At 36.6% G+C, this 27904-nt stretch overlaps 1 protein-coding gene across 8 annotated transcripts in view, besides 2 other annotated features; it reads right to left on the bottom strand.

Annotated features, from left to right (window-relative positions):
* Positions 1-27904, bottom strand: part of ADGRL2 (adhesion G protein-coupled receptor L2) — a 687801-nt gene that overhangs the window by 503845 nt on the left and 156052 nt on the right. The window lies entirely within an intron of this gene.
* Positions 19203-19710: an enhancer, noted in NCBI's record as "H3K27ac-H3K4me1 hESC enhancer chr1:81936063-81936570 (GRCh37/hg19 assembly coordinates)". NCBI's record gives its function as "activates a minimal SCP1, AML or CMV promoter by ChIP-STARR-seq in primed H9 embryonic stem cells {active_cell/tissue: H9 hESC(primed)}" and the evidence as "EXISTENCE:reporter gene assay evidence [ECO:0000049][PMID:30033119]".
* Positions 19711-20218: an enhancer, noted in NCBI's record as "H3K27ac-H3K4me1 hESC enhancer chr1:81935555-81936062 (GRCh37/hg19 assembly coordinates)". NCBI's record gives its function as "activates a minimal SCP1, AML or CMV promoter by ChIP-STARR-seq in primed H9 embryonic stem cells {active_cell/tissue: H9 hESC(primed)}" and the evidence as "EXISTENCE:reporter gene assay evidence [ECO:0000049][PMID:30033119]".

Below are 27904 nucleotides of genomic sequence, written 5' to 3'. Positions count from 1 at the left end.
ATTTACAAATGGTTGTTACTATAATATTAGCTTTTATAATTGACCACATATTTACCTTTATTGAGATATTTCTTCATATGGCTTTCAGTTACTATATAGTCTCTCATTTCACCCTGGAAGACTCTCTTAAGTATTTCTTGCCAGGCAGTTCCAGGGATAATGAACTTTCTTAGCTTTTGTTTATCTAACCATCCTTTAATTTCTTTTTAATTTTTGAATGGCAGTTTTGCTGAACATAGACTTCTTGATTGATGCCTTTTTGCTTTTAACACTTTGAATATATTGGCCCACTGCTGTTGGGCCTCTACAATTTCTAATGAGAAATCATCTGATAAACTTATTATGGATCCCTTGTATGCGATGAGCCACTTCTGTCTTGCAGCTTACAAGATTCTCTGTCTTTCAATCAAAAGTTTAATTATTATGTGTCTTCATGTGGGTCTTGTTGAGCTCATCTTACTTGGAGTTTGAGCTTCTTGGATGTACAAATTCATGTCTTTCATCATATTTGTGATGTTTTCAGCTATTATTTCTTCAAATATTCTTTCTTCTTTTTCCTGTCTCTCCTCTACTTCTGGGACTTCCACAGTGTGTATGTTGGTCTGTTTAATGGTGTCCCACAGGTCCCTTAGGCTGTATATTTTGTTTTAATCTTATTTCTTTCTGTTCCTCAGACTCAATAATTTCCATTGTCCTGTCTTCAAGTTTGCTGATTCTTCTGTCTGCTCAAATGTGCCTCTGAATTCCTCTAGTGAATTTTTCATTTAAATTATTGTATTTTTCAGCTCTTGATTTTTTTAGTTTCTTTTTAGATTTTCCATCTATTTTATTTTATTATTAATTTTTTTTTTGAGACAGAGTCTCCCTCTGTCACCCACGCTGGAGTGCAGTGTTGCAATCTCAGCTCACTGCAACCTCCACCTCCCAGGTTCAAGTGATTCTCCTGCCTCAGCCTCCAGAGTAGCTGGGATTACAGGAGCACACCACGTGCCCAGCTAATTTTTGTATTTTTAGTAGAGACAGGGTTTCACCATGTTGGCCAGGCTAGTCTCAAACTGCTGACCTCAGGTGATCTCAACCCACCTCAACTTCCCACAGTGCTGGGATTACAGGTGTGAGCCACTGCACCCAGCCAGATTTTCCATCTCTTAATTGATATTTCCATTTTGTTCACACATCATTTTATTGACTTTCTCTTTATCTTAATTCAGTTTTTTGAATATCTTTAAGGTGCTATTTTAAAGTCTTTATCTAGTAGACATCAGGTCTTTTTAAGGGATCATTTTATTGATTTATTTGCTTTGAGGGACAATTCTTTTCTGCTTCTTTGTACGACTCATGGTTTTTTTAATCGAAAACTGGACTTACTTTCCTCCTTTTTGAGACAGGGTCTCATTCTGTCACCTAGGCTGGAGTGCAGCAGCATGATCTTTCTTACTGCAGCCCCGACCTCCCATGCTCAAGCTATCTTCTCACCTCAGCCTCCCAGGTAGCTGGACTACAGGTGTGTGCCACCATATCCAGTTAATTTTTGTATTTTTTTTTTTTTTTGTAGAGACAGGTTTTGCCATGTTGCACAGGCTGGTTTCAAAACTCCTGAGCTCAAGCTATTTGCATGCCTCGGTCTCTCAAAGTGCTACAATCACAGGCTTGTGCTACTGTGCCCGGTCTCTGGACATTTTAATCTAATAATGTGGTAACTCTGGAAACCAGATTCTTCCCTTTCCCCAGAGTTTGCTGTTTTTTGTTAACGTTTTTATTTATTGATTTTGTGATTTTTGTATTGTTGTAGGCACTCTCTGTGCCAAGGATCCACCTGAGGTGTAAATTTAAGGTCTTTTCAGGACTTTTCTGAACCTGCTTTTTTCCCTGGACATACATAGTCACTTTCAAATTTTCCTCATATATTCAGTTGTTTTTGAAAGTCCTAGCCTTTAATTTCCTCAAAAGAGGAAAAAATAAAAATAAAGGGGAAAAATGGTGCTCATTCTTTAAATTCTCTAGAAGTCACTTCAGCCAGAGTCGGGCGGGGGGCAGGGGTAGCATGCAGTAACAATAGCCATTTCGTCTGCACTTTGTGACTAGAAGTAGTCGTGATGAGAGCACAGACCTGTGATATTTGGAGGACGGGGTGCCTTGCGCATATTTTTTACTAAATATATCACTAAATTGAATATATTACTATGTGTATCTAAGAAACCATCAGTTTCTAAATATTTATGAGAAAAATTACAGTAGACTGACATACTTGTATATATTTGTACATCTCCTCCTCAGCCAGTCCATTTTTCAAGTGAGTATTCAGATACAAACTCCATGGAGTATAACCTTAACATGGTTATATATAAGTTGACAGCATTATTGAATATACAATTTTAGCTTCTTTGTACTTCAGTAATATTCCCCATTTTCCATATTTTTCAATATCTCCCCCTTTTTTTTTGAGATGGAGTCTTGCTCTGTCTCCCAGCCTGGAGTTCAGTGGCGCCATCTCAGCTCCCTGCAACCTCCGCTTCCTGGGTTCAAGCGATTCTCTTACCTCAGCCTCCTGAGTAGCTGGGATTATATGCGCCCACCATCACACCCAACTAATTTTTGTATTTTTAGTAGAGACGTGGTTTCACCATGTTGGCCAGGCTGGTCTTGAACTCCTAACCTCAGGTGATCTGCCTGCCTCAGCCTCCCAAAGTGCTGGGATTAGAGGCATGAGCCACCACACCTGGCCTTCAATATATCTTTAAATGGGTTTATATTTATATTAATTATGTCAAATTTCAGGTGTGATTTGGCCACTTATACATTTCTTTTTCTTTTCCTTTCGTTTTTTTGAAACAGAGTCTCACTCTGTCATGATGGCTGAAGTGCAGTGGTCTGATCCTACAGCCTCTACCTCCTGGGCTTAAGCAATCCTCCCATCTCAGCCTCCAAAGGAGGTGGGACCACAGGTGAGCACCACCACACCTGGCTGATTTACTTTCTTTTTTTTTTTTTTTTTTGTAGAGATGAGGTCTCCCTATGTTGCCCAGGCTGGTCTCCAATTCCTGGCTCAAGTGATCCTCCTGCCTCAGCCTCTCAAAGTTCTGGGATTATAGGTGTGAGCCACCATGCCCAGCCCACTTTTATATTTCTTTGTTTTAAATTCATACAAGTAGCCTGCTCATTACTTCCGTCTGGTAGTCTCATCACTTCCTGCTACATTTGTAAAGTCTTAGATACTTTCAAAAAGGTATGCACTTTGTTTATTTTTTTACCTGATGAATCAATCACAAATTAGAATTAAAAATGAAAATAATCATTTGGAAACCTGTCAAACTTGAGGTAGGTTTTCTAACTTATATGTCCAAAGCATGAGAAATACATTTTCATGTGCTGTTCAAATGAACAAAGGTCATGGTGGAAGATTTTTCTAACTTTGAAGGCAAGGGACAAATTCAGAATCCACAGTTTCACTCTGGGAGTAAAACAGAAATAATGATGTATAATTTAATACTCATTTTAAATAATTCCCATCTACCTAATAGTACTATACAGTTGTTTTTTTTCAAGTTTTATCAACATGTAGTAGATATTCTGCATTGGCCTGTAAGTATTTAGATTTAGCTTTTAAAATCTCAGTATGTGTATATTTTTTTCCCAAAGTAGTTAGTACAAAGATGTCAATGCTTTGCTATTCTCTTTTGGATTGCCTTCAGAGACAATTTAGGAATCACACAAAAACAGTGACTCTTTCCAAGCAGTGGGCAATGTGCTAGGAGTCAAAATAGAAAGATGAAAATAGCTTGGTTCCTGACCTTGAGGAGCTTATAGTCGAGTGGGAATATCGGTCTTGTAAACAGAAGATGTCTATGAAATACAGCAAAGACCAGAGAGAAAAATGTGCACATAGGGGTTTTGACCACACATGCATTGTCTGGCATATTTACTCATCTGATTTGCTAAACCAAGCGGCAAATAATTCTTGCTTGTTTTGAAAACCAAACTCCTCTTACAAATTACAATCCCTTCCTTTTGTGGATATTCAAAAGAAATATTTAAGCATGATTTTACAAGAATATTAGCACAGTGGCTTGTCCATAGAAGGTAATAAAAAAAACTTTTGAAGTTGTAAGTGCACACAAAGCATGAGGAGAGTGCTATATGTAGGGCAGAGGTGTTAGCTCAGTAGATGTCTGATCTTGTGGAGGTTAAGTCCGAGTCTTTAGTTTTCTGTGCTGATGGTCTTTGATCCTCAGTCCTTCACTTGATTCATCATTTATACATGATTCATTGATAAGTGAATCAGACTGCACTGCTAATCAATGTTTACTTGAGTGGATCTGGCTCTCTCTTTTCTAAATGTTTGTTTACTTATCTTATAAGCAGGGTCAGTGTTTCTTAGCAACCTTCCTAATGCAGAAAGGTCACAAGGCTCTTTGGTACCTGTGTGCACCCTACAGCAATACTGTCTAGGCACTGATTATTTCACTACGGAGACTTAGGTTCATTGTTCTTGAGGCATTCTAGAAACATCTTTTAAGAAATAAAGTATTGTATATTAAACCAAGGCACAGAAATACCATTCATATATGAAATACCATTTATATATACAAAGAAATATTTTGCTGTTCATATTTTTATTCTGCTTTAATATCAGATACACTTCAAAGTATACAATTATAATATGTGACAGAAAACTTTTATCATAAACATGTTCAAAAAATCACTCAAAATCTTAAAACAGGGGCAACATGGAGACTCTAGGCTTTTTATTGGAGTTAATTATTCATTTGCAGGGGATCTTCTCTTATAGACCCCTACATTTTTCCCTCTGAATTTTTCTGATCTTGAAAATTCCCTAATGATTTTTATTTCTTTTCCCTGTTTCTGATTACTACACACCACTCAGACAGGTAAACTTTTTTTTTTTTTTTGTGCTTTTCAAACACATATTTTTTCTTTTCAATTCCTTGCTTTTCTTCTTTAGACCTAATTTCCAAGTCTAAGCTGAACTAATGTTCTACTTTGAGACATTTGAATATTGCAGTTTGTCATAGCATTCAAAGCATACTGTATATTTATCATTGGATGAAACTTTTAGTTTTTCCTCTGAATTTGCCCTTTGAATCTGGTTTCTGACTCAATTACCAAAACAAAGCAAAAGAAGCAAAATGAAAACAAAACTGGATTTTGTAAACACCTTATGGGTAGAATCTCTCATTTGCTTATACTAACTTCATGCAAATTTTTTTTATGGGAAGGGTACCTGAGGTATGTAAATCCTCCAGTATCAATGGAACAAATAAATGATATTTAGATATTTCAACATTTTCTTAGTACAGTACAAGGAAAGACAGAAAATCATTGTAATAGAATGCCCTTCTAAGACGATGATTTTTTTTCCATTTAAGAGACCTTGCTTTGTGCCAAGTTGTCCTGTTCATGAACAAAGGACTAAAATGCTGCCTACACTGTGTACAAGATAACCTAATATACACAGCTCATAACTGAAATAATAAAATTGAACCACATCATAGTTTAGGGAAGGAAACTAAAAGTGGCCCTTTCTGCTACTGGTTTTACTCAGCAGTAAAGAGAAATCCTTCCAAGTGTTGTTTACACAGTACGAAATCCTTGTAAAGTCATAGTGGAACAAGTCTGCTATCTGACCCAGCCTTCAGGGCTACTTAAACACCTGTGGATTTATGGAGTTCAGATGTCTACAAGGGTCTGTGTTGAGGTTCATTCAGAAACCTGGAGCCCAAATAAAATGATCTGTTGACATGGGCAAGCTGCTTTGTTCCTCTGTAGTCCGACTAGTTGTTGGAACTAGAAAGGAGATTCAGATTTAAGAATGTACTCTTTAAACAATTAGAATTAATAAGGAAATAGAGACATATTTGTTTTTTATTCATTGTGGGATTTTGATCAATTAATGTTTGAATTTCATTCTTAAATTTTGATTTATAAAAGCAAGACCAAAAGGGATTTATTCACTCACATTTTGTGTGTATAAGTAGCCCCCAGAAGGTATATGTACATCTGGTGATGGGAGCTGGTCTCTTTATAATGAAGACTTACACAGTTTAAAACATGAAAACCTATGCCATTTAGAAATGCACACCCTTTAAAAATGATCAAACATAGCCACAAAGTTGTTTTAATTAACTGCATCACAATTGTTTTCATTTGAAGATTTGATTTAGTCTTTTGAAAGTCAGACACCATGATTTAGGGAATGTTCAGTCTTATTCAGGAGACTTTCGAGTGAGCTTATGTTATAATTGTTAAACATATGTCTTCCATTTCCACATGTCTATTAAAAGTTTTATGAAAGGAAACATGCTTGAAAACACCTTGTTTAAGCTCAAACACAGAGTCACATCCAATGTAAGGAATAACCTGGTTAACATCTCTCCCATTTTTATAATCTAATCATGCTATAACTAGCAGTATTTGGAATTGTGAAGACTTTCGCCATGCCCGGATTCTTGATTCTGTTTGTACATTGTTGAATCATTTTTAATTGCTTCTGGGGGAAATATATATTCCTATGCAGTTTTGGGTTTTATGTAGTGTTATTATTAAAATAATGAATTACTTGAAATAGAAGTAGCTATTTATCAGATAAGAATTAGCTCATCTATACCTTGTTCTGCTCTCTTTTTCTTATTTAATCCAGGAACAGGAATATTCCATTATTTGTCAATATACTTCTATGTTGCTAAATGCACGAAGGTGCTTGAGCATTCATCTTGATTGCTTCATTTTCTTCACCTTGACTAGTTCATCTCTCTTATCTTCTTAGGCTATAACAGCCGTGGTTTTTGTTTTAAATGGCTTAAGTAAGACTCATATAAAAGGCACTTGTCGCTCTAAAACTGGAACTTTAAAAAAGTGTCCATGAGAAGCTATAAAACAGATACAGTTTGAGAAACAATCCTACAACATTCAGATTAGGTTTGGGTTTCAGTTTCATAAAACAGCTAATGAAGAGTTCTTCTATTGGTGAGTCTGGGTTCTGAGGGTGACTATTCTTTCTTAATATCACGCAGTTGTCAACTTTCTATAGCATGTTTAGGAACAAATTAAATAAAAAAATAGCTCCATAAACTTGAGTATATTCATACATAAATAGATTAGAGAGAGTAAGAGTAGTCATGGAAGAGAAAGTGAACATTCTAAATAAAATTAGTGTGGTGTACAGGATGTTTCTGTGTGCTCACTGTAAAATATAAGGATATAGCTAATATAAATATAATGTATAAAATATATGTATAATTCAATATATAAAACATATATATAATGTAAAATGTAAGGATAGATACTGTTTTAGTGAAGGTATAAGACAGAATGATAACCTATAGGAAGAAATTATCTTACATTTACAAATGGAACCCTATCTAATATCTCCTGTGTTTACAAACATAAAGATGTTTTTATGCTGCAATACATTTAATGGTTTTATAATTACTACTATCTAGAATGAAACACTGATAGCGATGGAAACGCAGGTTAAAAGTAAAATACTCAGTGAGTTCTTACAAGATATTTATGGCAATTAGTATACATCACTAATTCAGGCATTTTGGCTTTAAACTCAGATTTGCACAGGCAAAATTAAGTATTTAAGTATCAATAGCTATTCGCCTTATTTTAAAATAATAAATTATATGTGTGGGTTTAGGACAAGAGCAAAGATAATTTTTTTTAAGTTGTTCTATAATAAACACGTATTACTTGGATGGCAAAAGAAAAATTACATTTTTAAGGACACAATGAATCACTGAAATGAATCCTCCATTAGGACTTTTGCAAGAGAAAACAATGCAGAAACATACGGTGCTTTATTCAAACTTTCTGTTTGTTTGGCCGCAAACTATATTTTGTTCTCTATGTCAGAAATAACTAATATCAGTTTCTGCTAAAGCCCAAATAATTAATGAATGCAATCATAGCAGTGCTAAATTCTCAAACTGGTGTTTTAAAAGAGTCTAAGCAGTTGGTGGGTTGAATTTTTATTTTTCAAGGCAACTTTTAACCTTGGGTACACATAGTCTGTTCAGACTAAAAGAGAGTTTAGTGAGATCTGTTGGGAGACAAAGAGCCATAGAGAGCAGTTGTGGACACAATGTGTCAGAAACGTCAATAGAGTACATAGATATGGGTGGGAAGGGTCTAAGGATATGTTATGTTGGTAACTGACTTGAAAAAATGAGAAGTGGATCTGTGTGAGATGGAGGCAAAGAAACAGGGAAGGGCTACATATTTAAGGAGAGGTGAAGTTAAGGAGCAGGATGACAAGGAATTGACATAGGTGTAGCTACAAAGCAGTAGGATGTAATCTGCCATTTTCAAAGTGTTTTCTGACCCTCTTTGAAAACCAGCCTATACAGTAAATGGGGCCAAAAGTGGGTTAGGGAACATTGTAACCTCATTTCACCTTATTTAGCTATGTGCCAGAGATCTCAGCAGGTAGTTCAATTAACTTAGACTAGTTAAATGAGATGAAAATGAGGTTACCCAGATTAACGAAACACGACTTTTGGTCTTCCCCCAAATCAGGGAGAGCAAGGCTCACAGCTGAAGCTGGTCCTGCCCCAGGCAGTTGCCCACCTGCCTGGGAGCTTCTGCGCCGAGGGCCACATCTCATCCCTGCAATCTTACAAGGGACAGGAGAAACAACCTCAGATGGATGACTACAGTCCTAAACAGAATGTTGATTATTGCATCCTTCTAATTTCTTTCTGTCTTTCTGGAATCAATGCATAACCCAAGTGGGGGAAACATTCCCCATGTGATTTTACATCTGAGTGAATTTGACCGGGAAAGCCTTGTTTCTAAAGTTAAATTTTGCGGAATTATCTCCTTATTGATAGTTTATGGGGCTTCTTAGTTTAGAAATCTCAATTAGCTCCTCCATTACTTTCACAAACAATTTCTAGTATCTATGGTTATTTTTATTATGTTTAAAAGGATTGTTACTAGACACTGATGGAAATCATGGAAAAACACTGAACAACAATTTTTATTGTTATCCAATGTTCAAATTAAATTTCTTTAATTTGTATTTATTTTCAACTCCAATGAGTAGTTTTATTGATAACGACTAATTTTAACAAATAAATGACATAAATGCTGAAATATACTTATGATCTAACCCTTAAAGGATACAGACGTTCAGGAGAATTTCTTCATAACTGTAAGATTTAAGTTGATAAAATTGTCACAACAAGTAATATTTAAATTATTTTAACACAGCATATATGGTTGAATGTGGGTGCTGAGTGGGGTAAATTCCTGTACTAGATGACCTTGCCTTTTTGCACTTCAGTTTCCTTATCTGGAAAACAGGTTTAATGAAAACTAGACATCAGATAACTCATTGTTAGGATACAATGAGTTTTCAAAAACCACTTAGTCGTTATATAAGTGAATGCTAGCTCATATGAAAATAAATATTTGTCTATTATGACTATAAATCAGTAAATTTTTAAAATGTATACTTCCTTTCCCTAATATGGTCAGCTATATCTTGTATAATTTAAAAAATATTTTCCATCTTTCTTATACAGAGAAAGAAAGGGTGGGCTTATGCTATATGTTCTGAAATTAAAACTTATAATGTGAAATATTACTCTGCTTCAGGACGAACTGTCAAAATAAACATCATATAGTTCTTAACTGACCAACTAAGAATATTTCAGTTTCATCTGGTAATGCTAGACTAGGCATCTATATTTTTGGTATAAAGAAGAAATGAAGGTAACTATTATTTACTGTGCTAAATACTTGACTTTTTACCTTATCTAGCTGTAGTAATAGTCATATGAGTTCAGTATGATTTTGTCTATTATAAATGATAAAACCAGTCTCTGAAAAGTTCATCCACCAGGCCAAGGAAAATGGTAATAATGCTGGAAACGAATGCCTAAAGCCTCCTAGTTGCCCTTGTTTCTTGTTTCTTAGGAGGAAGATTCTGGTTGAAGAATCTTTAGCTGGTTTCCAGCCTTGTGCTGTATAACAGAGACTAGGCTTGAGACCTCCCTCTTCTATCATCAGCTATGTGACACCAGCCCATGACTTAATTTGTCTGAAATTAAGTTTCCTTACCTACAAAAAATCAGAATTTTCATGAAAACTATATTAGATAATGTCCATAAAACTTCGGTTGCAACTTAAGGTATCATTTTGACTTAAAATGTTACTAATAAAAGTGTGATTTTGAGTTAAGAGAACAAATGAAGACATCTAAATTAGGAAACCCCATAAACTATCAATAAGGAAATAATTCCACAAAATTTAAGCTTTAGAAACAAGACTTTCCTGGTTAAATTCGCTCAGATGTAAAATCACATGGGAAATGTTTCCTCCACTGGGGTTATTTGTTAGTTCCAGAAAGAGAGAAAGAGAAAGGAATTAGAAGGATGCAATAATCAACATTCTTTTTAGTACTGTAGTCATCCATTTGAGGTTGTTTTCCCTGTCTCTCGTAAGGTTGCTGAGAATACTATATAAAAAGGAAGTAATTTTAATTTCAGTTTTTCATTCCTTATCTCCAAAATGTGGGTATCTGATGCCTACAGAGTATCTAAAGGCGTTTAAGAAGAAATTTCTTTTTTTTTATTTTTCAGACGGAGTCTCACTCTGTTGTACTCTGGAGTGCAATGGCGCGATCTTGGCTCACTGTAACCTCTGCATCCTGGGTTCAAGTGATTCTCCTGCCTCAGCCTCCCGAGCAGCTGGGATTACAGGTGCCCGCCACCACACCCAGCTAATTTTTTTTTTTTTTTGTATTTTTAGTAGAGACAGGGTTTTGCCATGTTAGCCAAGCTGGTCTCAAATTCCTGACCTGAGGTGATCCACCCATCTCGGCCTCCCAAAGTGCTGGGATTACAGGCATGAGCCACCACACCCAGCCTATAAGAAGAAATTTTTTAAAAAAGAAAAAAATATTTTAATCAAGTTTGCCAATCTTGGGGACAAAAACCAAGAGATATACAAATTGGTTACAAAATACATTAACAGACATTATTTTTACACAATACTTTCAAACACAATATATAATAAGATGTTTTATAAAGAAATGAGTTAAATACTGATGGTGCAATAACTGTATGGAAAAACAGAAGATCATTAAGCTTTCACTTGTAGCTCACTGTGCAGTCTTGGATATTAGCACCCTGAGTTATTGAGAAATAACTGCAATGAAACAGAATGCATCTAGTAAGCATCTCATTTTTTGTTCCATTGAAACAAGAAAAAAAAAACTCAAATAAATGCATGCAGATGCCAGTATTTTTCTCATAACTTACACTGATCAACAAGCATCACCAAAAATGCTAAAAGCAATCAGCACAAACTCTGAACCACAGAGAAATCGTGAGGCAGTGTAGCGACTTCCTTAATGTGAATAGCATTAAGAAGAATCTGAACACTGCCACTATTAATAAGACGACTACAAATTGTAGCCGATCAAACCAGAAGGAGCCTTGAATGTATTTGCTGGGAATTGCTTAAGGCTTAAACACCAGCGACTTGAAACAAACTGTTCTTATCACCTTTTTCCAAACAGAGATTTAAATTTACAATGAAAGTGCCAGCACCAGCTGCACTTAAAGCAAGCACCACATGTCTCGATAAGCTCCAAGAAAATGGAATGGAGCCCAGTTCAAGCTGGAGGTGTCGTCTAGCTGTAGCCAGCTGGGTGACACCAAACTGAAAGTGATGAGGTGCTAATTAAAGTGGATGAACAGAGTCTCATTGTAGGCACCTGCCAGTGGCCTCTGCAGAATCATCTAGAGCCCTGGGCATATCGCCCAGCCTGTACGGCCACAGGAACCGAGCATGGATTCCTGCATCTCTTATCTGATACCTCACCTCTCCGATGTTCCCACTGTAGTTTTAGTTGGAGATAATGACTCCTCCTGCCCCTTGCTCCTATTTACCGACTCCCCCAAGGAATAATTATCGCAGGATGCAAACTGTTGAGCACAGACTCTTTCTGAAAGCAGTATTTTTTTTTAAAGACAATACATTAAAGTGTATGTTTAAAGAAAACCCCCAAAAATAAACAATGCAAAAAAATTACTCTCAAATATACAAAAAATGCTCTCTTCAGTTTTGGAACACAGTGTGCCATTTGTTCCGTTCACACTTTTCTCCCCTCTTCCTTCCTGAGCCACACAAGATGACGCTGCAGCCAGAATGACATCGTAGTGATGGATCATTCAAAAATGTTTGCAGCAGCTGTGGTAGCTGCTTTTCAAAACAGAGAACACAACACGACCTGAAGCAGCTGAATCACTAAAATAAAAAACACTTTCTTCTTATTTAAAATTCTAGCTTTTCGTTACCAAAGTTTTCATGACTTTAGACTGTTTAATACAAAAATATATTGATTCTCTAACATGCAGTATATTTACTAAATGGCTGCATGCATCTGTTTTGTTCTTTACAGGATTAATAAACTAACTACTGAAGAGCTATCCTACAAACTGCAGGAGTGCCAGGGCATATTGTGAACTTTAGGAGTCTGTGTAGTCTACATTTTCTCATTATCCAAAAGATCCTTTTGCAACTGTCCTGTGTTGGAAGCCGTCACTTTGCCAGGAAACTTGTTTCTTTGCTGTGTCTCTTAAGAAGTTATTTGATAAAATGACAGAAATCTATATTCATGTAATTTCTCTTCACTGCTCCAGCCCTGTTTTCTGTAGAAACAGAATGAATCCACATTTCCTTATTTATTTATACATGTTTTCTTCAGGTTGGCATGAAAATATTATTGGCTGTCAGGATAGTCAGGTGTTAGGAGTAATTCTGGCTTTACGATATGACAGCCTATTGGCCTTTTGGGCAAGTTACTTAACCTCTTATTGTCTCCATTTCCTCATCTGTAAAATGGGTATAATAATCCATCTTGGAGGGCTGGTGTGCCTATTATGTGATATGACACATGTAAACCATAGCACAGTGCATGGTGGGTACATAGTATTGGTTCCAGGGTGGGTTAGTGGCAATGGTCAACCAATCTGAGGAACAGAACGAAAAGTAGTTCTGTGAACAGAGAGGATAAGTTTTATTTGGGCAAGTTGAAATGAGCTATGTGTGGGACATCCATGGATATTTCCACAGGGCAGCTGAAATGCAAAACCAGTAATATTTAGGGTACCTGGACTAGGCAGGTAAATGTGGGTGATTTAAAAATACAGTTTAATCGATGGATGTTGATAAAATTTCTAAGATAAGCATTTGGAATGGCGAATCTGAGGACAGAATCTGAGAGGATATCTATAGTCAATGAAGGAGAAGCCAGAATGAGAAAAAGGTAGAATGACTGCAGAAAAAACACAGGATATCACAGGTTAAACTGCACAATGTTATCTGAAAGAAGGTGTAATGGGACATGTTTAATGATGTACTAGAAATTGGACACTTAGGAATCCTTTAAATAGCAACTTTGCGAGATTTCTATGGAATCCATTGAAAAGAATTGACAGGAAAATGGGAGAAGGAAAATGGAAGGTAAGCAGGCACAACGTTTCAATAAATTTGTGTAGAAAGAGAAGAGAAGAAGGATCTGGGCTTGAGGTGAAAAAGCACAGGTGGAGGAGGTGTTCACTTTGGAAAGGAGAAGGGACATTGTTTCTTTGGTAAATATAATCCATCTTTTTCTCTTCTTCTTGAGCACTAGGATAATATTTGGCTCATACCCAGTTTCTGATACATTTCCTACTCCTCACAATTTTTGCTGCTTTACTTAGATATTTTTGCAGCTTTACTTAGACTACCTCACCAATCATATTGTCAAGTTCTCTCAGTATTTTAAGGTATAATAGTGGAGACCTAAAGGATGTGATCTAATCAAAAGATTGTACTTTCTTCCTTCCTTGTTTCATTCTTTTTTGCTTTCCCTTTCTTTCCTTTTTTTCTTTTTCTTTCTCTCTCTGTCACTTATGCTCTTTCTCTTTCTTTCTTTTTTTCCTACCCATATATTTAAGTGTCTAGTGTGAAGGCTTTTCTCTTCAGTGGAAAATATAAATTCAGACGTAGGTTCCTCAATGTTGACGTAGCTGGGATTCCCTGACACCTATGGAAGCACTGCTTCCTCTGAACACTCACTGGTTTTCTTGTAGCAGAGAACTTTCCCTTCTGGCATAGAAATGGAAATACAAGGCACTTATGCCCTATTCCTGCTACTTGCCCCCGTGGCAGAGATAACTAACTACTCATGACAGCTTTCCTACACAGATTGTAATAGCCTCACAATTTTTCTGAACATCCTCCTCCAGGAAGGGCACTATTAACCCAAGTTGACACTTGAGTTGTCAGCAATTTGATATCCCTACTCTTTGTGTCTTTTCTGTCATCTACTTGTCCCAGTCTTTATCACTTACAGTTTTTCTTGTCTTTTGTACTTCTCTGTCCATCTCCTCCCCCCAAATAATCCTTTTAGTATGAGAGATCTTTGCTTTTCTCTTTAGGAAAGATGAACCCATTTACAAAATTATTAAAGGTTTTAGCATTCTTTTTCCCTCATCCATCAAATGACGGCACATCTTAGGCTAACATTGGTCAAATTGTAACATAGTAAAATAGGTATTCCTAATTCTTTTTCACAAATTATTCTAAAATCTGCATAAATGCTTTAAAAATCTTTTGAGAAAGAGCTCACCTATGTCACCTAAAGGCTAGTAGATACCTTTGAGCAAAGATGTCAGACAGCAGAGAAAGAGGAAGAGTTGTCAAGACGTAAACAATAGTAATAAAAACTGAGATGGTACTCAGGGGAGTAGCTGATTATGCATGCATCTTTTTAGCTAAGTTCACATACTCAGATAAAATAATCACCACCATCCTATATTTTGAAAGGCAGTAATGACTTATGCCCATGAGTGTCATTTTCAGAAAGTGTTTAGATACAAGTTTTCTTTAAAAAAACAAAACTAGATGTTTAGCATTGTGTTTTATCCTTATTGTTGATTTTGAGGTGCAACAATTGATGTCAATGAGCTCTAGGAAACCAAGGAAATAGAAGGCTAAAGACTTGGGGGGCCTAAGGAACGAATTGTGATGACTCTGACTGCTTTTAGGCCCTGGGTTCCTAGCGCAGTTGTCACATACCACCTATCAAAATGTTTTCTTAGAAAAGGTTAGGAACTATACTGGTGGCAGCATAAATCTTTGCCAGAGTTATGATCTTTCTCACTGTTACTTGAATCTACATAAAATAATGATGAAAAGTATTCATCATACTCAAAACTCAATCTCAAACAAAATGACCAGTAATTGAAAAAACAAAGGTAATTGGCCATGAATGATGGAAGAAATTTCATAAGGATCTTACTGACTGAAAAATGTTCAATAACTCTAAAGCACTGGAAATATTTTAAGCATCACAAGCCTTAATATGAGTCTATTGGCAAGGAAAATGTAAAAGAGTTCTTGATAGTATAGCATCATGTAGTGATTTGACTCTACTCTATAATTTCTAAAATGGACTGCATTTGCTGAACTGACCAGCAATCCCTCCCCTTATGTACCAGCTACTTCATGCTCACTGAATGACATGGACCTTGCTTTTCTGAACACAAGTGTCCAGGTTATTGAACATGCTAGACTCTGTAGGCATACCAGGAAGCATCTTTCCCCATCCAACTACTGCTTCAATCATATCATGTCAGATTCATCTATTCATCCATTTAACCAATATTTATTGTACACCCACTATGGGCCAAGTACTATTTAAGGCTCATTAGAGTATGAAGTGGAAACAAAACAACACAAAAGATATACAACAATCCTATCTTCTTGGAGCTTAAATTCTAATGGGGGAGACAGACAATAAACATAATGATTCTTTTCTGCCGCTAAACTCAGGCATATTCCATAGGTTTTCTAGTATTTTTCATGTATTAACAGTGTCAATTTCAGCTATTACAAAATCCCATTCTATCCAAACTCAAACGTTCATTTCATATCCAATTCGAAGCTCCTTTCTCTTTTCCAGCTCAAGCTTGCCTACACTGGGAGACCTGTGATAGGGAGAGGGAAAGAGCTCTCTGCCTTCTATCTCCTTGTTCTCCCTCTTCTTCTCCTCATTAACTTCTGCTTCTGAGTCTTTCCAACTGCAACAGGCCTAGGCCAAGTGATTCTAAGAGCTCTGTGGACACTCAACTCCACATACCAAGGAAAAGAGCCTCCCAAGAGTGTTTGCAACCATGTGGACATCCATGTTGTATGAGGTGTCAGTCTCCTCTTCAGCTCTGTATCTACATCTAAACAAATGGTTCTCTTTTGAAGTTTATCTTGAAGTGGGAAAAAAAAAAACCTCACATCCCTTGCCCAGTGGAAATAAGATGCTGCAGCGCTACCCTTGATAGGCCTATAGTTTTCTTTCACAAAGCATTCTTGACTCTCCAGCTAGTCTCACAATATTAACCTGGAGACGGGTGATAGGTTAAGGGTTAAAGCACCATTTTGCTATTTATTAGCAAAGCCCTTCTGAATGGTGCAGTTCAGTAGAAATATAATGCAAGCCACATATATTATTTTGAATTTTCTGGTAGCCACATTAAAAATGTCCAAAGAAACAGGTGAAATTAATTTTAATAATACGTTTAACTGGATTAATCTACAATTTTATTATTTCAACATGCAACAAGTATTAATCAGATATTTCACATTTTTTTCACACTACATTATTGAAATCCAGTGTGTATATAAGTTCTGGAACATCTCAGTTCCACTAGCCACATCTCAAGTGCTCAATAGACTCTTGTGCCAAAGGCCTACCATACAGAACAGTGCAGGGATAAATTTTCCCTTGAAAGTGGGATAACAGTTACTTTTTATTCTTACTCACGACCTCTGCCAAAACTGTGAGACAATCGCAAAAGTCAATTTAACATACTGAGCCTTCACAAACCTTTCTTGCCGATCACACCATCCCCTCTGTCCCTCCCACCCACTCTCCATCATCACCTCCTCCTCCTCATCCTCCTTCTGCTCTCTCTCTTTCCCTCTCTCCTCCCTCCCTCTATCTCTAATTTGCTTACATTGATCCATTGAGTTCACATAACAGGCACTGGGGTCCTAATTGTGGAGAAAATTTCCATAAAGTGGTTGAGAAAGAAATGAACGGGTTCTCAGACAGACACTTTTGCTCTCAGTTTCCTTCCTCCTTCCCTCCTTTTATTCCCTTCCTTCCTAAAACATTCACTATGTTAAATTATCATCTTATGTAAAATGTTACCAACTTGCAGTATGTATGTGGAAAGGCAAGCAAAGAGAAAAAGAATCTTCTTAAAGCTGTCTTAAAATTTTATTTCTCATCCTAAAATTTCATTATGGTGCCATTTCATTTAGGGAAGGGTTTGGAAATATAGGATTTTACTAGAGCATGTAACAAGAGATATACAGACTAGAGATTAAATGCAAGATTCCTTTCCCTTTCCCTTTCCTTTCCTTTCCTTTTTTTTCAGAGTCTTGCTCTGTCGCCCAGGCTGGAATGCAAGTGGTGTGATCTTGGCTTACTGCAACCTCCCCCCACCTCCCTGGTTCAAGAGATTCTCTTGCCTCAGACTCCTGAGTAGCTGGGATTACAGGCGTGTGCCACCACCCCCGGCTAATTTTTTGTATTTTAGTAGAGACAGGGTTTCACTGTTGCCCAGGCTGGTCTCCAACTCCTCAGCTCAGGCAATCCGCCTGCCTCGGCCCTCGGCCTCGCAAAGTGCTAGGATTACAGGTGTGAGCCATGGTGCACGGCCTAAATGCAAGATTTCTTTTAGGCTAGTGGATTTTCCAAGTTCTTTTATTCTTTATTTGGCTGAAATAAACAGATAGGTTCAATGATAAATATCTAGAGAACAAACACATAAAGCTGGAACTGGGGGAAAAAAATCATCTAGTAAAGTAACATCCCCAGATAAAGACAATATTTTTTGTTTATTTTTATTTGTTTGTTTTTGAGGTCAATTTCTGCCTATTTTTCAAGTAAGTTATGACTCCCTAATTTCAAAGGAAAGATTTAAATTACATTTCTCTGTACTGGTATGGTGCTTCAAAAAATAATGAAGTGAATTGGTATGTTCAGGAAAAAGTTATTTACTGTAATTTGAGGGTTAGAGATTGAAGAGTAAAAACCCAAACTTCCTAAAGCTGATTTTTGGTAACATTTTAAATTATATTTAATCAAATCACTAATTAAATAGCCAATATACTGAAGAAAATGATTTTAGAAACATCCTAGGTTATTTCTTCTCTCTGAATTACTGTCATAACTATGAGAAGGTAAGATACTATCTTTAAAATGAAATATAAAATTTAGGTCTTATCCAGTTTTGAATAATAAAGACCTCGTTGCTGTTTCCACAAGTTAAGTACCTGCAGAAAGTCAATCAGGGCAATTATATTCGGCCTATATACATTTTTCTTCACAATTTTAATTCGATTCAGGCTTAAAACTGTTTCTATTCAACAACTGTTTACGCCTGGATGAGGTGAAGCATTTCAGCTGTTAGTGGAGTAAATTCCATAAATATTATCATAAAATTCTCAGAAACCCTTCAATATTAAAATGCCTTGCAAAGGGAGTACGTTATTTAATCATTAAATAGGATACTAATGAGTCCTTATTAAACCTTCCAGATAAACATTGTATTGACATCTAGTGGCTACAGAGGCTGATAACAGATATACTATATTGAAAGCATGTGGGGTAGCTTAATATGTTTTCCATTTAAAACATCTCCTGAATGAAAAATGGGCAAAGTATACATAATACTAAATAATGCTAAGGTATTGACAAGAAAATATAAATATCTTTGTATTGATATGTTAAATGCCAGGGATGGATTTGTGGTGGTCTGAAGAAAGAATAATATCAGAGCTGCCCAAGAAATGTATAAAATATACCCAGATATTTGGTGGTAGATTTACTAAGGCATGCAAATAATAATGTCAACCACCATTTACAGAGTTCTACCTACCTCCCAATCCTGCAATGTGCTTAACAGATCTTACCTTATTTAGACCTCAAAAATATCCTTGAAATAAAATATTATTTACACCTTGCTGTTACCAGTGAGGAAACAGACTATGAGAGGTTAAATTATTTGTGAGGGTTACACAGCTAGCAAAACTGCAGTCAGGATTTGAAACTGATCTGACCAAACCTGAAGTCCAAACTCAGGGAAACCAAGCTTCTTTCTACCTTTGTGCATTAATGACTTTATTTGAAATTAATAAATTAAAAATAATTGTATTCTTCCTTTCAACTTGCTTTGTGACATTTTAAGCTCACTATGTGACAACTGAAATTTGCTTTTTGATCTTTGAGCAATTATTCCTGCTGCACGTTAATTTGAACTTGTTTCTACATCCAGGACTTGACATCCATCATCATGTGACATGTATGTGTGTTCAATAGTTCAGAAATACAACCCACCCACAAAGAAGATAGGGTTCTCTCACTGGTATATGTTTCTTTGACTTTAAAAAATGTTTTTGTGTGTGTTTCTTTGCCTCCGAAAGAAGATTTATTTGAAAAGCTGTCATAGAAAAGTGCCATGGCAAGAAGTAAATTTACAAGAGGAAGTTGAGAAAATTCAAGGTGGTGACCTAGCAAATGAAAATGTGGAACTTGAAAAAGGGCATGCGAACAAGAAAGGGAAGAGGAACAGCTGGGTACAGGGAGCAGTTGGGGGTAGAATCTGTTGGGAAGGGAAATGGTGAGCAGGAGCACCGGGGGATAGAAGCAGGGATAATGATGGATTTTACAAAGCTCAGTTGATGCAGGAAACAGGCCCTTGATGTGGAAGGCCAAAGGGCAGCAGCCACTCTTTTTATAATTGTTCAAATAAGTACATAATTTGCATAACTTGAACAAAAGAAAAACAGAACAGTTATAGATGTATATAACTATCAGTCCTAGGTCTTCCTTCCTGGCTCTTTGGATGATTCTGATGCAGTACCAGATGTGTGCGTTAGAATAAAATAGGTTGTTGAAAGGCAGAAGAACATGACTTAAGGAACACGTGTTTCTAAGGCCTAAAGCAATTCCAGGAACTCTAGAGAGACTCTTGGTCATCCATGTTGCAGAATCGCCCTCTGCAGAAGCTCTTTGGTGCAGAAACATTTATTAAGCATGGCTATCAGTCCACAGGCTGACTCCTATCCAGACCCATAATTCTAGGGACAGCTTGGAACAGAAGGAGCCTATGAAAAGAGAATAAAGAGCTGAATTGCATAGGATGTGTTTAAGAAGCACACTGACGAGGTGTTCATAATGAGCAAGGGAAATGACAAGAAGTCTGACAGTAGCATTTTGTCAGGAAAGTGATGAGCCTATTGGGAGAAGACAGATAGAAAACTAGAGTCTGAAACAGAAGTCCACTATAATGAGATAAAAAATCACTAAGGGTCTTAACTTAGCTCTTGGATGAAGATTGAAGAAAGGAATAGAGCCCGCCTGTGGTTTTTTTAGATAAAAGGGAAAGAAATAGGTAATGCTGAAAAGGAAACTTTTTCATGCTTAAACTGGGGGATAAGATACCAAAGATAGCTAAAGATAGGAAATTGAATAAGAGCTGAAAACTCAGAGGGATAACAGTTGATCTGTAGTAATTTAGGGGATGAAAGAGTATAAAAGGGAAAATAAGAAAGAAGTTGAGAGTGGATGTGAGTCTGTAAGCGACTTTAACAGAAGCACTGGGTATGTTGATGTGACGCTTCTCAGAAAAGACAGCAGATCAAGGAGCCGTGTCCCTGAAATCAACCGCAAGATGGAGAAGCATTTTTAAAAAACCATGTATAGGAGAGGACACTGGTGCCTTTTCAGACCAAATTAGAAAAAACAGAGGCAGAAAGCATTTACAGAAATGGTTCTCAAATTTTGCTGGATATCAAAACCTCCTGGACTGCTGATAAACACTAAGAAATCAGAATGTGTGGGGCAGAAGCCAAGTCTTAGAATTTCTGAAAGATTCTCAGGTGATTCCAATTGCAGGAAAGTGTGAGAACCACTGACAGAGCATGCTTTAAATTTTTGGAGGGAAATTGAAGTACAGGTGCTAGGTGGATTGGTCAAAAAAGGACAGAAGTCATCTCGTGATGTGGGAAGTGCGGTTTATTAATAATCCACATCAAACCTAACACTAACCCCTCACTGGGTTGTACTATTTTCTTCATCCTTTCCTTCCACTGAGGCTCCCTCACAGTTTACTTTTGTGATTGTGATGCACTGGATTTTCTCTTACCATCTCAGTATATTAACATACTGAGCACACAGATTACAGAACTTTGTATGTCAATTGAAAAATGAAAAATGCTAGGTTGATGAAAAGTTGGCATAAATTAGTCACAACATATTCAAAAATCCAGCTTGAATGCTGAGCTACACACAGGATATGCATAAAAATCTGATGCAGTGATTATTTCGTGCACAGGGTATTGAATTTATGCTATCATCCTTTAAACATTAACAACTTACGAGGTTATCAGAAATGCTTCCATTCAAATTTCCGAGGTGACTTCAAATAATACGTTTTGCCCTTCTTTAGCTTTGCTTTTAAAAAACATGGTTTGTATTCATTGTTGTCACAGAAAACTTCTTTTCCATAAGAAATCAACTTTTATTTAAAAATTCTGACAAATGTTGGGGTCCATTTTATTTTCTGTCTTTGATTAGGCTTGTTTAATTCTGAATTATCTGCCTTTGCTTTGAGGCCAAACAGGATTAAAGTTTCAAGTATAGTATGCTAAATTTATAATGTGAATTTAAAACCAAATTACTTATAAGAAACCAGTATCAGCACCTAGGGACAAGGCTGAGCTATTAGCATAATTTATACCAGTGAAGATACTACCCTAATTATTTGTGGCCAATTATCAATTACTGGTCAATGCTAGAATCACTCTCCATAATTATTTCCCTCTGGTATCTTCCCTAGATATAATGGAGAACTTCATCATATTTTCTTTTCCCTAGAAAAACAATACTTATTTGTTTCTATAGGATTTTCAATCTTCGAGAAAACCAAATCTAAACTTTCAATACTGAGAATTTCCCTAAAATTTTAAATCTTCAAGTCTTAAATAGCTAAGGAAAGGAACTGAATATATCCATTGTCTACAAAGTATTTAGAAAAAACATTTAAATTTTTCTGTTCCTATCCATATTATTTTTGACTAATTTCAATTCTGATTTTTTTTTAATTTGAAAAGATTAATTTATACTTCATAACATTTTTAACATTAATTCCTTTTCTTACATATATTGTTCCTTTCTATTAAAATCAATCCCAAAGCCTGCAAACACCAACCTTACATTTGAATTCCTAATGACTCCTCCTATTGTCTCATTTCTGTTTGAACCTGTCAATCAAGGGTGAAAAGTGCTAATCACTCCCAGAAACCCCAATCTTGCTCACAAAAGTACCAGTCACTGAAAAAATAATACTGATTGGTCATGGATGGGCAGGAAATCTCACTAGGGATCTAACCGCACAATGGAGTTTATTAAGTCCATTTTGCTCAAGTCCAGCTCTCCCTGCATGCAAGGGTTTGAGACTTTAATTTCAAAGTCAGCTAAAACCGGCTAAGGTAACTTATATTCATTAGCTAGGCTCTGACTGGAGCGCTGTAAAATCTCTTGGTTAGTGCTTTTGGCTTTCGATAATAGCAGTAGCATTTATTTTTACTCTTTGTTTTCCTCCCTGTCTTTTTTAAAGAGGGGGACGAGATTTAGTTGGATGCTAGTTGTTTTAAATTCTTAATTGGTCCATGTTCTTTTTTAGCTGCTTCTTATTTTTGTACCTAATTCCTGTAAATGACTAAACATCCACAAGGAAGATATTTCTCATTAATTCTCCCTATGCAGCAGTGCCCTTTCTCAAAGCCACGGCTGCATTTATTACTGAAAAGCAGTTATGATGTGTATATACAGCAAGGGCCATAAAGTATCGTAGCCTCAGGTCACAGAAGGGGATGAGGTTCAGCAGTCTTATTGTCCACATTATGAGGACACCAACTTTCTTCCAGTCGTTTTTTTTCTTTTTTTTTTTTTAACTGTAGCTTATTTGCTTTCTTAGAGGTGGCAGCTGCAAAGGGCTGGTGTGAAGGAAGAAAGGAAGACGGCACTATCATTAAAGAATAAACAGTAATTACCTTGTAGAAATCTCCAGAGTGATTGATTACCTCTTCAGTTTATAAGAACAGGCCTGGGAATATACAATAATTGATTTCTATTACTTATGTGTATTTTCCTTTTAACTTTCCAAAGAAACAATGTGGTTTAATTGACTTTAATTTCAAATTATGCATTTTTATGACTTCTGGAGTTGGCTAGGAATTAAATGAACAGACTTGCTAGCCCCATGAGCCATATTATCAATTGAAAACAAAAAGACATAGTGTGTATGTGTGTGTGTGTGCGCGCGCGTGAGAGAGAGAGATGTTATATGTCATTACATGTCTTGTACTTATCACTGGGTTGCTTTTGTCTTTTAATGTAGGTAGTTGCTAGGTTTAGTTTGAGTTAGACAAACTCCAGGTTTAATCAAAATGTGAGACTGAGAAGTGGTTATAGCAAGATCTGGCATAGGCACAATAGAGATGAAATCTCTTCAATGCAGACCTGATGGATATGTGCAGGGCAGTCACTGGAGCAGGGTCAAGCTGGGCATTATGAGACCTCAAATTGCACTGTCCCTGCTGTAATGCCACGGCCTAGTCAAAATCCTGTAAAACTGCACGAAACCGAATTTATTTAACCTGTACCTTCAGCCTACACTTTGATATCATGAAAATCAGACATGTTTTTTAATAACTGTATACCTTTTGCTGGCTGGGAAATTGAGGCAGGAATTGCCACGTAATGCATCTGGGAGAAAAGGAATCAAATTAAAACCAGACCCTTGCACCTGACAACACTGACAGTGGGCTTAGGCCATGTAATATTTTGCCATTAGACAAAGCAGCCATAATGGTCTTCTCTGAAGCATTCTATCTTCTGGCTTCTTGCAGATTACTTTACAATACTTCTCTGACACATTACACATGTACACATGTGGTACACTGTATCTTTCTCATTTATAGTACCTTTCATATTATATTGTAAATATTGGTTACTTGGTCTTTCCTCACTTTTTTGAAATAATTGCTCTGTTTTAAAATTTTCATTTTCCTTGCTTAGCCCAGTGTCTGGCACATTTCAGGTGACCAAAGATTTGTGTACCACAAGCTAAAACGATGGCTCTCTGCAGGACTAATGATCATCTTTCAGGCAGATGCTGAGATTTTCATTTTTCTTTGTTTGGACAAAAGTGATTAGTATACCATTTATTCTTTAGTACTATAAACAAAGCAATGGTGCAAAATAACAAAAGATAGCAGAGCTCAACAGTGAGACAACATTTCTCTAAGTTCAGTGACACAAAGGCACTATAAATACCATCATAGGGACGTAAAACTAGGAGTTAGTGTACCAACATTTGCGGGATCTAGAAAAATTTTTCATTTTTAATATTACTTTGTACTATGATCTCAATAATGAAAAATCTACTAGATTAGCAAGAATGATATTCTTAACACTTGCAGCTTAAAAACAAAATCTTTCTGAATGGAGATCATTTTTCCCCTTCTAAACATGGAACGAAATTAAATATTTAATGTAGCAAACAGATCCAAAATACAAATTAGTTTCTTTTACTTATTTATATATTATCTTATAGTGAAAAAATCATGTGCCACATATTCAAAATAGTAATTAATTTCTGATATCTAATTTATATAATTCCCTAAAAATAATACACAAGCATTCTCAAAATCCAAATGTAAAAAGATCAGAACTTAGTATAATTGTCAATGAGTTGACACTGCTGAATAGCTTTCTATTGAAAGAATTATTGCTTTTATGTTGTGTAAAATATTTGTAACTATAGGAAATCAAATTGTGATATTTGAAGTTGTCATTTTAACAGTGAATGATTTCACAAACAATACAGTAGATCTAAACAACGTAGCTGAAATATGTGACCACCGACAACACAGTATCACTTGGACAATGCCACCAACAGCATGAGTGACACTTGATGGTAGAACAGTGGGCGACTGGTTCTTAGTGGTCCTACACTTTGTCAAGTATTCCTTTTTCTTTTCTTCTTCTTTTTTTTTTTTTTCTCCCTGGTGGCTATTTGTCATTCTCTGAAGACTACAGCCTTCTCTTCCCCTGGACCTTTTTGAACTCTGCTGTCTTTGAATATCACGGATATTGCAAAAGAAACTATTTACTAGGCAGTAATTATATGCCACCCCTCATGTAAAGGTAAATGATAATGAGGTATGTGCAAAGAATAGGCAGTCCTGTCAAAAGGAAAAAGAGCGGCTTTTAAAACTTAGAGCTATACAAAATGCCTTATAGACTTGTTCTGGAGTAACTGTATCAATTAACCACGGTAAAAGCCCTAACTCAGATGGGCACTGCACACAGCATGTCTACCAGTGTTTTATTATCAAGTCCATTATGATGAGTTCTTGTCCTAGACAAAGGAAGAACAGAGAAAGAATTCAGGCTGACAAATTAGACTTGAAATCAGTTTCATTTACATAACGACTGGAAGTTCATTAATAACAGAGTTTTAATTATTCATGCTCTTGTTTCACTAGATACAGCAGTTTTTCCCCTGCTGTGTGGGATGTCTGGATTAGCTAAAATGAACCTAAGCAAACTGATAGGCTGCCCAGATACTCAGATGCTTTTCTATTTTCACATACTAGAGATGGGTGGGGGTTGGGGGGATGGAGTGCGTGTACAAATTGCGGCTGGGTAATGAGGAGAGATAGGGAGAGGAAAAGGAAGGCACTAAATAGAGAGAAAGGAAGCTGGCCAGCATGATTTCTTTGGGGCTGTATTACATGTTTGCAGAAAAGAAAGAGAAGGAAAAAAATGCAACTGTTGTGCATTTGTATTTGACGGGAGTTTCCACTTGAGACGATAACACTTTAAGTATCAATCATTTCAAGATTTCCTGCTGGGGCATACTACTAACATGATGATGTGTATGTATGCAATTCATTTCCTTTGGATATAGGAGCACTAGAAGGGTTTGTTTTTGTTTGCTTGTGTTTAAAAAAAAAAGGAAGAGAGGAAGTAGGAAGGAAACTTTTTTCCTTCCGTATTATCAGGACGAACCTAAGAAACAAGTTTAAAGTAGGCTTTAATACAATTTTCTTTTAATGAGAGTGGTGGTGATATTTTCATTCTTACTGGCAATAAACAATGACACCAAGGACACTTTTCTGCAAAGAATTTAAACTGTCTTTATACACATCAATCTCCTGACCCAGCCTTGAACACGACCTTGTGAAGTAAGTAGTTGAGGGCCAATTGCTCAGGGGGTTATTGCGAGTCTGGTTCATTTGCTGTCTACATGTTTTACTAATTTAGGTAACTATCTCACAAAAAGAGAATCCACGACACATAAAACAAGACCAAATTGTTCCCAACATCTTTAAAGTCCACTGAGGAGTGAAAGAGGCCAGAGGAAAACCTCCTTTTCATTCTGAAATCCGACAGCAGTTGCAGCCTTGGGTTTTCAAAGATGTCTCTGGAGCAGTTTTGTAACAAAAGTTCTCAATTTGGGGAACTGTCATCTAAAACAAATACCAGAAGTATTTTGAAGAAAATAATTTTAGCAAGGAGGATTTATATTTACCAAGAGCTGACTGAGTACCAAACATTCAGTCTAGAAGAGGGTCTACACTCTTCTGCTTGGTTTAAATGTCAAAAAATTTATGTCTATTTCACTGAGGAAGAATTTGAGTCTCAGAAAGACCACAGGTGCATCTAGCAAAGGAGGAAGGAATCCAACCCACATCTGTCTGACACCAACTCTCCCCTGCTACATACACATTTGAAGACCATGACCATTTGTACTTCCTACAAAGTTTACACAACTTGTTTTTTCTTTTCTTTTTCTTTTTTTTTTTTTTTTTTTTGAGACATGGTCTCACTCTATTGCCCAGGCCGGAATGCAGTGGTGCAATCACAGCTCACTGCAACCTCAACCTCCTAGGCTCAGGCAATCTTCCTGCCTCAGCCTTCTGAGTACCTGAGACTACAGGTGTGCACCACCCCTCAGGGCTAATTTTTGTATTTTTTGTAGAAATTGGGTTTTGCCAAGTTGCCCAGGGTGGTCTCAAACTCCTGGGCTCAAGCAATCCACCCGCCTCGGCCTCCCAAAGTGCTGGGATTATAGGCATGAGCCACTGCCTAGCCAACTTATTTTTCTGTCCTAATTTTTTTACCCTTTTTCTGATAAATGATTTTCTACAAAATAAATATAATGACCCAATTTAAAGAATATGGATAGCTTTCTTAGGTCTTGAATGATCAAAAAGTCTTAAAAAGTCATATATCAAACACTTAATAAAATACTTGGAAAATCTGAGGAGCAAGATGTTAATGAGAACAAGGGCCAAGTAACAATAACTGAGTAAAAATCGGACCACACTACCTGGTAACTTTACATCACACGCATTGTTTGTAGGTCATGTAGGAAAAAAATTAATCACCAGAATCTGCCATTTCTTATCAAGTCTGCTTGTCTCCCTCCCTCCCTCCCTGATGTGTCCAGAATTTGTTCCTTCTGGTGGGTTCTTGGTCTCGCTGACTTCAAGAATGAAGCCACAGACCCTCACGGTGAGTGTTACAGCTCTTAAATGTGGCACAGACCCAAAGACTGAGTAGCAGCAAGATTTATGATAAACAGCAAAAGAACTAACCTTCCACAACATAGAAGGGCAGCAGAGCAGGTTGCTGCTGCATGCTGGGGTGGCCAGCTCTTATTCTCTTATTTGGCACGGCCCATGTCCTGCTGATTGGTTCATTTTACAGAGTGCTGATTGGTCCATTTTACAGAGTGGTGAT

This window comes from Homo sapiens, chromosome 1 (genome assembly GCF_000001405.40).
Source record: "Homo sapiens chromosome 1, GRCh38.p14 Primary Assembly".
NCBI classification, from domain to species: Eukaryota; Metazoa; Chordata; class Mammalia; order Primates; family Hominidae; genus Homo; species Homo sapiens.
This window is presented reverse-complemented; position numbering and strand designations above follow the sequence as displayed.